Source organism: Homo sapiens, chromosome 1 (genome assembly GCF_000001405.40).
Source record: "Homo sapiens chromosome 1, GRCh38.p14 Primary Assembly".
NCBI lineage: Eukaryota > Metazoa > Chordata > Mammalia > Primates > Hominidae > Homo > Homo sapiens.
The window spans coordinates 47,331,296-47,344,646 of record NC_000001.11 but is presented as its reverse complement, the minus strand read 5'-3'; the positions used below and the strand labels follow the sequence as shown (position 1 = coordinate 47,344,646).

At 46.6% G+C, this 13,351-nt stretch overlaps 1 protein-coding gene across 5 annotated transcripts in view, besides 5 other annotated features; it reads right to left on the bottom strand.

Annotated features, from left to right (window-relative positions):
- CMPK1 (cytidine/uridine monophosphate kinase 1) overlaps positions 1-10,857 on the bottom strand; it is a 45,050-nt gene extending 34,193 nt beyond the window's left edge. For all 5 annotated transcript variants that reach the window (NR_046394.2, NR_046395.2, NM_016308.3 and 2 more), the window contains exon 1: positions 10,531-10,857. Coding sequence is in view for 3 of the 5 variants with exons in the window: in NM_016308.3 (NP_057392.1) it covers positions 10,531-10,701 (171 nt within the window). In the remaining 2 variants the exon portion in view is untranslated. The remainder of the gene's footprint in view (positions 1-10,530) is intronic.
- Positions 9,311-10,114: an enhancer, noted in NCBI's record as "H3K27ac-H3K4me1 hESC enhancer chr1:47800205-47801008 (GRCh37/hg19 assembly coordinates)". NCBI's record gives its function as "activates a minimal SCP1, AML or CMV promoter by ChIP-STARR-seq in naive H9 embryonic stem cells {active_cell/tissue: H9 hESC(naive)}" and the evidence as "EXISTENCE:reporter gene assay evidence [ECO:0000049][PMID:30033119]".
- Positions 9,735-9,794: an enhancer, noted in NCBI's record as "active region_1008". NCBI's record gives its function as "activates an Ori minimal core promoter by ATAC-STARR-seq in GM12878 lymphoblastoid cells {active_cell/tissue: GM12878}" and the evidence as "EXISTENCE:reporter gene assay evidence [ECO:0000049][PMID:35858748]".
- Positions 10,115-10,918: an enhancer, noted in NCBI's record as "H3K27ac hESC enhancer chr1:47799401-47800204 (GRCh37/hg19 assembly coordinates)". NCBI's record gives its function as "activates a minimal SCP1, AML or CMV promoter by ChIP-STARR-seq in primed H9 embryonic stem cells {active_cell/tissue: H9 hESC(primed)}" and the evidence as "EXISTENCE:reporter gene assay evidence [ECO:0000049][PMID:30033119]".
- Positions 10,115-10,944: a biological region, named in NCBI's record as "H3K27ac hESC enhancer GRCh37_chr1:47799401-47800204".
- Positions 10,305-10,944: a silencer, noted in NCBI's record as "silent region_854". NCBI's record gives its function as "represses an Ori minimal core promoter by ATAC-STARR-seq in GM12878 lymphoblastoid cells {active_cell/tissue: GM12878}" and the evidence as "EXISTENCE:reporter gene assay evidence [ECO:0000049][PMID:35858748]".

Here is a 13,351-nt window from a genome sequence, read left to right as displayed (position 1 = left end):
TGTGCCTGTAATCCCAGCTACTTGGGAGGCTGAGGCAGGAGAATCGCTTGAACCCGGGAAGTGGAGGTTGCAGTGAGCCAAGACTGTGCTACTGCATTCCAGCCTGGGTGACAGAGTGAGACTCCATCTCAAAAAAAAAAAAAGAAAAAATAATAATAATTTACAGTTGAACTTTAATACCTGCAAAGTTCTTTCATATCTGTTTGCATTCAAGGGAGTGTTTTTTGAGTCAGCCTCACGTATGTCGGTTTACCCTCTCACACTTTACTCAGAATTGAATCCTTCAGTAACCCTATACAAGGATAACTGCTCTAAGCGTTTTTCCATCTCCCAACTGCTTCTTTCCCACTGTCCTTCAAAATTGAGCTCATACACATCACCTCCTCTGGGAAGCCCTCCCTGACTCATTAAATTGACATTTAGATGTCCCTTCCCTAAACGTCCCTAAATGGGATATTTGGTATATTTATATCATAGGATTTATCATTCTATCCTGTAGTCATCACCAATTAATTTCCTTGTTTCCTCACTACATTGTAAACTTTTGGCAGCAGGGTCTGTCGTCTTTTTTTTTTTTTTAAGACATGGTCTTGCTCTGTTGCACAGGCTGAAGCGCAGTGGCGTGATCATGTCTTATTGCAGCCTTGAATTCTCTTTCTCAGGTGATTCTCTCACCTCAGCCTCTCAAGTAACTGGGACCACAGGCACGCACCACCAGGCCCAGCTAATTTTTTGTAGAGATGGGCTTTTTTTTTTTTTTGAGACGGAGTCTCTCTCTGTCATCCAGGCTGGAGTGCAGTGGCGCGATCTCGGCTCACCGCAAGCTCCGCCTCCTGGGTTCACGCCATGCTCCTGCCTCAGCCTCCTGAGTAGCTGGACTACAGGCGCCCGCCACCATGCAGGGATGGGCTTTTGATGTTTCCCAGGCTGGTCTTGAACTCCTTGGCTCAAGTAATTCTTGCACCCTGGCTTCCCAAAGTGCTGGGATTACAGGCATGAGCCACTGCAACTGGCCAATCTGCGTCTTCTGACTCAACTCAACAACCAATATCACAGTGCCTGGCTCTCAAAAAATGTTTTCTGAATAAATGACAAGTACAGGGAAGTTTTGTGGGTTTTTTTGAGACTTTTTTTTTTTTGAGACGGAGTCTCACTCTGTTGCCCAGGCTGGAGTGCAATGGTGTGGTCTTGGCTCACTACGACGTCCTCCTCCCAGGTTCAAGCGATTCTCCTACCTCAGCCTCCGGAGTAGCTGGGATTACAGCCTCCTGATCCACCCGCCTTGGCTCCCAAAATGCTGGGATTACAGGTGTGAGCCACTGCGCCCGGCCAGGAAAATATTTTTTAAAAATACACAGAGGGCCGGGCATTGTGGCTCATGCCTGTAATCCCAGCACTTTGGGAGGCCAAGGCAGGTGGATCACTTGAGGTCTGGAGTTCAAGACCAGCCTGACCAACATGGTGAAACCTCATCTCTACTAAAAATACAAAAATTAACTGGGTGTGGTGGCATGTGCCTGTATTCTCAGCTACTCGGGAAGTGGAGGCACAAGAATTGCTTGAATCCGGGAGGCGGAGGTTGCAGTGAGCAGAGATCACGCCATTGCACTCTAGCCTGGGCGACAGAGCAAGATTCCGTTTCAAAAAAAAAAAAAAAATACAAATGGTTAATTATGCCATTTCACTTTAAAAAAAGAATTGCCGGGCGCAGTGGCTTATGCCTGTAATCCTAGCACTTTGGGAGGCTGAGGCGGGTGAATCACAAAGCCAGGAGTTTGAGACCAACCTGGCCAACATGGTGAAACCCCATCTCTACTAAAAATACAAAAATTAGCTGGGCATGGTGGCAAGTGCCTGTAATCCCAGCTACTTGGGAGGCTGAGGCAGGAGAATTTCTTGAACCCGGGAGGCAGAAGCTGCAGTGAGCTGAGATGGCACCATTGCACTCCAGGCTGGGCAACAGAGTGAGACCCTGTCTCAAAAAAAAAAAAAAAAAAGAAAAAAGAGAAAAAGGAAAAGATTCTCAAAAATCTCAGAAAATAGATTAACAAATTTGTAAAAATTAAAATAATCTTCCAAGATGATATTCATATACTTTTGATAGAAATATAATAATGTTTGTGATGGTTAATTTTTGGTGTCAACTTGACTGGATTAAGGGATACCCAGATAGCTGGTAAACATTATCATCTGTGAGGGTATTTCCGGAAGAGATTAGCATTTGAAGCAGTCGAGTGAGTACCAGCCTGGGCAACACAGTGAGACCTTGTCTTTACAAAAAATAATTAGCCAGGCCTGGCTAATTGGGAGGCCGAGGCGGGCAGATCACCTGAGGTCAAGAATTCAAGACCAGCCTGGCCAACATGGTGAAACCCTGTCTCTACTAAAAATACAAAAATTAGCCAGGTGTGGTGGCAGGCACCTGTAATCCCAGCTACTCGGGAGGCTGAGGCAAGAGAATTGCCTGAACCCAGGAGGCGGAGGTTGCAGTGAGCCGAGATCACCCCACTGCACTCTAGCCTGGGTGGCAGAGCAAGACTCCATCTCAAAAAAATAAAATAAAAAATAATTAGCCAGGCCTGGTGGTGTGAGCCTGTAGTCCCAGCTACTCTGAAGGATAAGGCAGGAGGATCGCTTGAGCCAAGTGGCTGCAGTGAGCAGTGATAGAGCCACTATACTCCAGCCTGGGGGACTGAGCAAGACCCTGTCCCCAAAAAATAAAAATTGGCCAGGATCAGTGGTTCACACCTGTAATCCCAGCACTTTGGGAGACTGAGGTGGGTGGATCATGAGGTCAGGAGAGCGAGACCATCCTGGCTAACACGGTGAAACTGTCTCTACTAAAAATACTAAAAAATTAGCTGGGCGTAATCCCAGCTACTCGGGAGGCTGAGACATGAGAATCGCTTGAACCTGGGAGGCAAAGGTTGCAGTGAGCCGAGATCACACCATTGCACTCCAACCTGGGCGACAGAGCAAGACTCTGTCCAAATAAATAAATAAATAATAAAAAATAAAAATAAAAATCTTAAAGTAGACTCTATTAGTCCATTCTCACACTGCTATAAAGAAATACCTAATGAAACACTGTCTCTGCTAAAAACACAAAAATTAGCCAGGCGTGGTAGCACACACCTGTAATCTCAGCTACTTGGGAGGCTGAGGCAGGAGAATCTCTTGAACCTGGAAGGCAGAGGCTGCAGTGAGACAAGAGAGTGCCAAGGTTCTCTAGCCTGGGGGTGACAGACTGAGTGAGTCTCTGTCTCAAAACAAACAAACAAACAAAAAAACACAAATGAATTAAATCTATAGGTAAAGAACTGAAAGGATATCTATGATACAGTCAGCAAAAAATACACTAATCTCACTTGAAGGTAAAAAATATAAATATTTGCATTTTTGTTCACAAGAACATTGAGAAAGAGATGGGAAAGCAGTTCATAACAAGCAGTTACTACTGGTGATCTCAGGATTAGAAAAGATGTAACATTTTCCCTATGGGCATGTGTTACTCTTATAACTTAAAATGGAAAGGCAAAAAATGAAAGTTTTCAAAATTAAGGGCAGTAAATAATCTGAAGATCTCCCCTCCTCCAAGTTCTTAACAAAAATCCCATGTCATAAGCACCCTTAATCAAACAGTGGTGCTTCTGAAGAGTCAAGTATCCTGTGGACCAGATAATGTAAACTTTCTTAAAAAAGAAAAAATTTGCCAGGCATGGTAGATCATACCTGTAATCCCAACACTTTGGGAGGCTGAGGCGGGCGGATCACCTGAGGTCAGGAGTCCGAGACCAGCCTGACCAACATGGAGAAACCCCGTCTCTACTAAAAATACAAAATTAGCCGGGCATGGTGGCGCATGCCTGTAATCCCAACTACTCAGGAGGCTGAGGCAGGAGAATCGCTTGAACCCAGGAGGCAGAGGTTGTGGTGAGCCAAGATCGTGCCACTGCACTCTAGCCTGGGCAACTCAAACTCTGCCTCGAAAAAAAAAAAATTATTATTCCACCAGAAGGAAAGAAGCATATTCTTAAACACTGGACCTTAATATCCAGTGGATTTTCCTATCTAGTTTCTTCTGAATGCTGCTCTGTTTGAGAATTTGTAATGAGGAGCTTGGAAATCTGCTCAGCAGATTTTCACAACCATATCATTGATTCATTCATTGAGAGTAAACAAAAGTGTTACATGAGAAATCTGAGGAAGACAGGCTGGGTACGCTGGCTTACGATGCAATCCCAGCACTTTGGAGACTGAGGTGGGAGGATCGTTTGAATCCAGGAGTTTGAGACTAGCCTGTGCAACATAGGGAGACCCCATTTCTCTTTTTTTTTTTTTTGAGACGGAGTCTTGCTCTGGGGAGACCCCATTTCTACAAAATAAAAAAAATTAGCTGGGCATGGTGGCATGCACCTGTAGACCTAGCAACTTGGGAGGCTGAGGTGGAAAGATCAGTTGAGCCTGGGAGGTGGAGGCTGCAGTGAGAATGAGCCACGATTGTGCCACTGCACTGCAGCCTGGGCAACAGAGGGAGAGCTCATCTCAAATAAATAAATAAATAAATAGGAAAGAAAGGGAAAGGGGAGGGGAGGGGAGGGGAGGGGAGGGAAGGGAAGGGGAGGGGAGGGAAGAGGGCAGCCGGATGCGGTGGCTCACGCTTGTAATTCCAGCACTTTGGGAGGCTGAGGCAGGCGGATCACCTGAAGTCAGGAGTTTGAGACCAGCCTGGCCATTATGGTGAAACCCCATCTCTACTAAAAATACAAAAATTAGCCACGCGTTGTGGTGGGTGCCTGTAATTGCAGCTACTCAGGAGGCTGAGGGAGGAGAATCGCTTGAACCCGGGAAGCGGAGGCTGCGGTGAGCCGAGATCATGCCACTGCACTCCCGTCTGGGCGACAGAGTAAGGCTCTGTCTTAAAAAAAAAAAAAAAAAAAAAAAAGGAAAGGAAGAAAGAAAAAGAAATCAGAGGAAGACATTCAAACACTTCTGGTCCTTAAAATGGGAGAGCCAACTGCCACTGGAGCGCCCTCTGGGGATCGAATTTTTAAAAATTTTACATCTTCAGGACAAACAATAAACTCTATGAATCCAACGTATTCAACTTATAATTCAATAAGTGCTTAATAAGCAGTTACTATGTGTCAGGCACAATGTTCAACACTGGGGACACAAAGATAAATGAAATCAAGTTTCTGATTTATATATGCTTAAAGTCAATTATCATCCAAAACTTTTTCTAAGTGCAGTAAGTAGGATGGCCAGGCAAAGTAAGAGTTACCCACACAGGCCCTGGAGGAAGTTGACACAGATGATAAAATGCTTCTTGGGTGAGGCCAGGCGCAAAGGCTCATGCCTGTAATCTCAGTACTTTAGGAAGCTGAGGCAGGTGGATCACCTGAGGTCAGAAGTTCGAGACCAGCCTGGCCAACATGGCATTCATGGTGGCATGTGTCTGTAGTCCCAGCTACTTGGGAGGCTGAGGCAGGAGAATCTCTTGAACCCAGGAGGCGGAGGTTGCAGTGAGCTGAGGTCACACCACTGTACTTCAGCCTGGGCAACAGAGTGAGACCCTCTCTCAAAAAAAAAAAAAAAAGTTTTCTGGGTGCTACAGAAAGCAATTTGGCATGGTTATAAGCTTTAGTCATAATTTGTTTATGTAAGCAAAATGTTCACAATCTTTAAAAGAGAGGTTTAAATATTTCTTCCAACTAATGCATGTAAAATGGTGGTTATTTTCAAATATAAATTTAGGTTACATTGACATAATTTCATTTGGGCCAAAACAACAAATATAAATAAAGCTTAATTTTAAAAATTCAAGAATGACACAGTATTCCCATCATGATTTTATAACTAAATTATTGCACAATAATTCCATTCTGGAAACTTAACTCTAAGTATCACACTGATTTAGAAAATAGCTCATTTTCAAAAACAAATTCAGTATTAGAGGATACAGATTTACAAACAATTAGAAAATAAAACAAATTCTCCAAGTCTGGGTATTTGGTAAAAAAAAAAGAAAAGAAGAAAAAGAAAGAACAGGAAGGAGGGAGGGAGGGAAGGAGAGAGGGAGGGAGGGAAGGAGAGAGGGAGGGAGGGAAGGAGAGAGGGAGGGAGGGAGGGAAGGAAGGAAGGAAGGAGAAAAGCAAACAAAACTGAAAAACATCAGTACAAATAAATGTGCAAAATCAATCCCAAAACCTCCCTCCAATCTTTCCTTCCCAGTACAGAACACTCTCAGAAGACACTGTATCAGATTTGCCTTTACCTTCTCTAGGTCTCCAGGAGCAATTTGCAGAGCAGAATTCACCTCCAGAGAAAAAATACCAGCTTCCCTCTAACAATACCCACTTCACTAATTTCAGTGCCTTAGAGAGCAAGATATCCCTAAGGGTTTTTGGTTTTCTCTTTTTCTTCTCTTCCTGTCAACTGAAGATTCTGTAGCTAGGACTCAAATATGTACTTCTGGCAGCCTGAGTTGGAAATCAACATACTAAAGTAACAATTTCAGGTGCCCTGTGAGCTGCATTAGCTTCAGCCAGATTAATTGGAGAATTTACCGTGGATTTATGTAATTTTTTTCCTACAGGAAAAAAACCTCCAAAACTTACATTATTTTGGAATTTAGTTTATAATTGCCTGTATAAAAAAATATTGAGTCAAAATAAAGAGATTCACAAAGGAAAAAAACAACATACCGCTGACTTCACTAACAATAGATATTCCAGGCCGGGCACAGTGGCTCACACCTGTAATCCCAGCACTTTGGGAGGCCAAGGTGGGTGGATCACGAGGTCAGGAGTTCGAGACCAGCCTGGCCAACATAGTGAAACCCCGTCTCTACTAAAAATACAAAAATTAGCCGGGCATGGTGGCGCGCACCTGTAGTCCAAGCTACTCGGGAGGCTGAGGCAGAGAATCGCTTGAATCCAGAAGATGGAGGCTGCAGCGAGCCAAGATTGCCCCACTGCACACCAGCCTGGCCGACAGCGTGACACTTCGTCTCAAAAAAAAAAAAAAAATAGATATTCCAGTGTCTGTCTAGCCAGCTAGGGAATAGCAATTGCTAAATTATAAACTATTTGGAATTAGTTGATTGACAGCTTAATAAAGTTTATGGCAACTAGACTCAAGAGAATACTTTTCATTAAAGAAGATAACAGTTTAAGGTCAAATAATTGTTGAAATCTTAATAATATAATACATTACAGAACATATCTCATCATGGAATCTTGTAACTGATAATTAACAAGTTTAAAATATTATTTGCCATTACTGAACAGAATAAAGAATAATTGCAGAATGTGTAGATTATTTCATTTATGTATTTATTTATTTATTTATTTTATTTTTTTGAGATGGAATCTCGCTATGTCACCCAGGCTGCACTGCAGTGGCGTGATCTTGGCTCACTGCAAGCTCCGCCTCCCCGGTTCATGCCATTCTCCTGCCTCAGCCTCCCAAGTAGCTGGGACTACAGGCGCCTGCCACCACGCCCGGCTAATTTTTGTATTTTTAGTAGAGATGGGGTTTCACCTTGTTAGCCAGGATGGTCTCAATCTCCTGACCTCGTGATCCACCCGCCTGGGCCTCCCAAACTGCTGGGATTACAGGCGTGAGCTACTGCGCCCAGCCCTGAATGTGTAGATTATTTTTTAACCAGTGTAGTAGTATGGGTATTATTAATTTAGGTACAGATATTTTAAAGGCATATTATGATTCAGAAACAGCATACTGTATTTAAATGCATTCAAATATAACACGCATAAAGTAATTTAAAAGAAAAATACTATTTTGCAATAAAAATAACCAGGCCAGGCATGGCGGCTCATGCCTGTAATGCCAACACTTTGAGAAGCCAAGGCAGTAAGATCCCTTGAGTCTGGGAGTTCGAGACCAGCCTGGGCAATATAGTGAGCCCTGGTTTCTACAAAAACCTGAAAAAAAGTTAGCAGAGAGTGGCAGTGCACACCTGTCATCCCAGCTACTTGGGAGACTGAGGTGAGAGGATGGCTTGAGCCCAGGAGGCAGAGGTTGGAGTGGGCCAAGATGGTACCACAGCACTCCAGCCTGGGTGACACAGAGAGACTCGATCTCAAAACAAACAACAACAACAAAACCCACCAATAAAAATAACCAATATAATAAGATCAGGAAGTTTAAAGTAGAGGTAATAAGATCAGAAGTTTAAAGTGGAGAAAAAAACTATCTGCATCTGTCTCTGTGTGCCAGATATTTTACCTCATTTAATATTCACAAATACCATACAAAACAGCCATTTCTATGTTTTCCCTTTTCACAGGGAACTAAAGGCAACAACATCTCTGGGCCTAGAGAAACAGTAAATGGCAGAGTCAGGGTTTGAACCTATATCTCTTTGACTCTAAAGTCTTTGCCCCTTCCCCCATCATGCTATTTAAGAAAGATCACATATACTAAACAAAAATTTGAAATCACTCCCACTTTTCACTTGCCATTTATTTATTTATTTATTTATTTCTGAGACGGAGTCTCGCTCTGTCGCCCAGGCTGGAGTGCAGCAGCCAGTCTCTTTACTTTTTAAAAGACAAGTGACAAGGCCAGGCACGGTGGCTCATGCCTATAATCCCAGCACTTTGGGAGGCTGAGGCGGGCAGATCACGAGGTCAAGAGTTCGAGATCAGCCTGGCCAACATGGTGAAACCCTGTCTCTACCAAAAATACAAAAATTAGCCAGGCGTGGTGGCGCACGCCTGTAATCCCAGCTATGCAGAGGCTGAGGCAGGAAAATCGCTTGAACCTGGGAGGCGGAGGTTGCAGTGTGCTGAGATCGCACCACCGCACTCCAGCCTGGTGACGGAGTGAGACTGTCACAAAAACAAAAACAAAAACAAAAAAACAACAAAAGAAAGAGAACCAACAAAAAAAAATTTTTTTAAGAGGATGTAAATGTTATGTATTTTTTTAGTTGGACTAGTTCCACTTTGACACCTAAAATGATTTTTTTTTTTTTTTTTTTTTTGAGACGGAGTTTCACTCTTTCGCCCAGGCTAGTGTGCAGTGGCGCGATATGGGCTCACCGCAACCTCCGCCTTCCGGTTTCAAGCGATTCTCCTGCCTCAGCCTTCGGAGTAGCTGGGATTACAGGCGCCCGCCACCACGCCAGGCTAATTTTTGTATTTTTAGTAAAGACAACGTTTCGCCATGTTAGCCAGGCTGGTCTCGAACTCCTGACCTCGTGATCCGCCAGCCTCGGCCTCCCAAAGTGCTGGGATTACAGGAGTGAGCCACAGCGCCTGGCAAAATGATCAATATTTATAAATACATCTGTCCAACACATAATGACTTGTTGAACTCATCTAACTTTCTCTGGATGCTATTTAGGGAATAAAATACAGGACAGGAGTTGATTGTTATGAACATATAAGGAGAGAAGCAAAAGCCCCATGCTAATATTGGCCATATCCTAGAAGAGGAGGAAATTATAAGTTCTAGGTCAAAAAAACTTTTGTTGGTTACAGGGTTTCAGAGTGATTTCACTAGAGGCCACCAATGGTCGCCTCTTCTGTTTCTAGATATCCTGTTTTCCTTCTTTCCCAAGCATTCCCCAGATTGTCCATGAAGCCTTTTTTTCCCACAGTGTCAATGCAGCTAACCAACCATACATCTAGCTCAAAAATTGTTAAAAGAATTGAACTGGTAACCTGTCTCAAAGCAAAAGAAAAAAAAGTAACAGCATTTTACATTTGGGAGGTGTTTTATATCCTGAGAAAATCTGGGTTCAGAGACTCTTTTTACTGTATTACAAGGGCTAACTGAGGCTGGGAGACAGGAAGTGACCGAGGGCCGAGCGTGAGTTGGCAGCAGGGCCAAAGGTTGAAGCTTGATCTCAGAACAGCACTCCCGGCTTTCCCCATCCCCGACCCGGGCCGAGCCTCAGGGCTGGCTCCGCCCTAAAGCTTGCGGGGACGGGGCTCGAGAGTGCCAGCGGCAGCCCACAGCACGCCTAAAATAACACCCCGCCCCACGGGCCTCCTTTCTAGAGTAAAGACACGTTCGGTGACAGTGCGGAGTTTAGGGAACCAGAGGGAAGGCGCGGAGAAGAAAAATAGGTCTCTCCTTCAGACAACTGTGGGCGCACACGGCCTCTAACCCAAATCCGCGCTCCTGCTGCCTTCACCTGCCACACGATCAGCGACACGCTAACCTCTGCGCGCTGGGGGACCCCCAAAGGTTGGCCTCCGGGATCCCTCTCCCAGCCCACTCTAGAGACGAATCTGGTCCCCAAAATGTAAGAAAAGAAGGGGCGCAGGAACAAAGCGACCTCAAGCGGTGGCCCCCAAGGCGGGCGGGCGCGGACTACAAGTCCCGGCACGCCGCGCGCCGGCGGCCCTCGGCCACTGCCACGCGGGCGGCGCGGTGGCCGCCGGGACTCGTAGTCTGCGGCTCGGCGACTCCGCGGGGCGCGGACTAGGGGCGGCGGGACAGGCCGGCCCGCATCCCGTCAAGCCCCAAGGAGCCCGCCTGCTGCCCGGGCCTCACCTCGACGATGCGGGCGCACTGGGTCCCCTTGCCGGCGCCGGGGCCGCCGAGGACGAACACGACCAGCGGCTTCATGAGACGTGGAGAGCAGAGGAGAATCGGCCGGCGGGTCTGCAGCAGGAAGCTAAGGCCCAGGACGTGGAGCAGCCCGCTGCGGCAGCGGCTCAGCATACACCGCGCCTCGGCCGGACGCTGAGGGAGCTGACAGCGGCCGGCGCGGCGCGGGGCGGGGCGGGGAGGCGGCGGGAGAAAGGGGCGGGCTGAGCCGGCGCCCGCCGCGGCCCCGCCGCCGTGGCTGCCCGGGCGTCCGCGGCCCTGTCGGAAGGGGAGGAGCTTCGCACGGCGGCGGCGTCTCGGCGACACTCGTGCGGTCCGCGCCAGCTTTCCTCCAACCCTTGGGTGGTTATTAGTGCTTTCTGACTGCAGATATTTTATCCTGCGCCCTCAAGTGTCTGGTGCTGAGCTGGAGGCTGGGACGTGATCCGCGGGAGAGCAAAACCTATTGTCTCTGCTCGCAATGAGTTTCCATTCCAGCCAGTGAGGTATGGGGAGGTAGCCAGTGTGAATGAGTAAACACCAGTACATACAAAAGGCAGTACGATTTTGAAGAAATAACAAGTAGGACATAAGATGGCCAGGGTCGCCAGAGAAGGCTTCAGAAGAGGTGACATTCAAGCCAAGACAAAAGGATAGAAAAGAGCGAAACCAGGCAAACACCAGGATAGAGTGTCCCACAGAGAAAAGCATGTGCAAAAAATCTAAGTTGGTTTGGCATGTTAAAGCAATTGAAGGAAGGCCTGGCTGGGCGCGGTGGCTCACGCCTGTAATCCCAGCATTTTGGGAGGCTGAGGCAGGAGGATGGCTTGAGCCCAGGAGTTCGAGACCAGCCTGGACAACATGACGAGACCCCGTCTCGACCAAAAATTTAAAAGCCGGGCACCGTGACCCGTGCCTGTGATCCCAGCTACTGGGATGTTCACTTGAGCCTAGGAGCCGTAATAGCACCACTGCACTCCTGCCTAGGTGACAATGAGACTGCTTCAAAAAAAAAAAAGGAAAAAAGGCCAGTGACAGTGAGACCAGGGCTGAGTCAAATGAGGGGAGAATGGAAGGTGAAAAGTTGAGAAAGTGAGGTCGGTGGCAGATCAGGACTTTTGATTATGGAAAGGAATTTGGGCTGTATTCTAACAGCAATGGAAGCCCTTTAACTCCGTTCGCCTGCCCCCTTCATTAGGGAAGAATCTTAAGGGAGAAGAAAAGGAGACGTTCAAGAACTGAGCCTTGGTGCATACAGGCCTTTAAAAGGCCTTCTGGCCAACGTTAAGAGCTCATTTGATATTTGAGGTAACGGATTCAAAATAATTGAAGATGTTTGGCCATTCAGGCACAGGCAGAGAAGGCAGCTTGTTGCATTTACTGAGGGTTGGGATTTTGCCTGGCAAGTACAACAGAGAGAGGGGGCCAAGTGATGAGAGTGTTTGGAAGAGAATGTTCATGATGCTGTGTGTAGAATCAAAACCATACAGGAAAGCAAATAATGGCACATGAAGCCTGGTAGTGGAGGGGTTGGAGGGTGGTGGGGAAAGGGACCAATGTCTTAGAGCATTGGCCCAAGAAAGATTGCAGTGGGGTATATGAGCAAGTGCTCTGGCAGTATGGATGCTGCTGGTCTGAGTGGGATATTTGGAATTGAAATGTCCCAGCTTCTGAGTTTCTGATGATGCCAAGGTCCAGGGTGAGACCATGGGAATGGAAGACTGAGGCAGAATGCATGTCCTGTTTTTAGAACTAAGAGTCCAGGGTGTTAGATTTGTCGTACAGGTACAAGTTCAAGTCAGATAGTGCTGGAGTGAACAAAGACTATGGGAAAGGAACTAAGCTGTTTAGGGCAGAGTGACCAGGACGTTAGTAAACGAAAGCAAACAGGAGAGGAAGATAGTGGTATAGCCCTCTGTCTGACCACCCCCATTCTCCTTTTTCTTTTGGTGGTCCTTTCTTAGCTCACTCAGCATTTTCTGGCTCTTCCCCATCTCTACTCTCTCTCCTTGCTTTCTTTTTGTTGTTGTTGTTTTTACTTATTCCCATCCTTCCTACCCTTCTTTTCCCATTTATAAGTCCCTCCCTTCTCCCTGTCTCTTTTCCTGTCCTTCTCCTCACCTACTTGCCTTTGTTTGCCCTTCTTTTCCATTCTCCCTTTAATTTCTACCTCTTTCCTCTCCACAACTTCTACCTTTTCCTTCCCACCATAGAAAGGAGAATGGGATATTTTTTATTATCACAGCTGGAAAAAAATTTTTTTGGGGGGGATAGAGTCTCACTCTGTCACCCACGCTGGAATGCAGTGGTGCCATCTTGGCTCACTGCAACCTCCACCTCCCAGGTTCAAGCGATTCTTCTGCCTCAGCCTCCCAAGTAGCTGGGATTACAGGCACCTGCCACCACCCCTGGTTAATTTTTGTATTTTTAGTAGAGAGGGGGTTTCACCATGTTGTCCAGGCTGGTCTTGAACTCCTGGGCTCAAGTGATCCTCCTGCCTTGGCCTCCCAAAGTGCTGGGATTGCAGGCATGAGCCACCGCGCCCAGCCAGGCCTACACTACACTACAGGTGGTGGTGTGCACCTGTAGTCCCAGATGCTCGGAAGGCTGAGATGGGAGGCTGAGGTGGGAGGATCCCTTGAGCCCAGGAGGTGGAGGCTGAGGTGGGAGCAGCCCTTGAGCCTAGGAGGTGCAAACTCCAGTGAGCCAAGATCGTGCTACTACATTCTAACCTGGGCAACAGAGCCAGACCCTGTCTCAAAACAAAAACAAAACATTTTTCTAT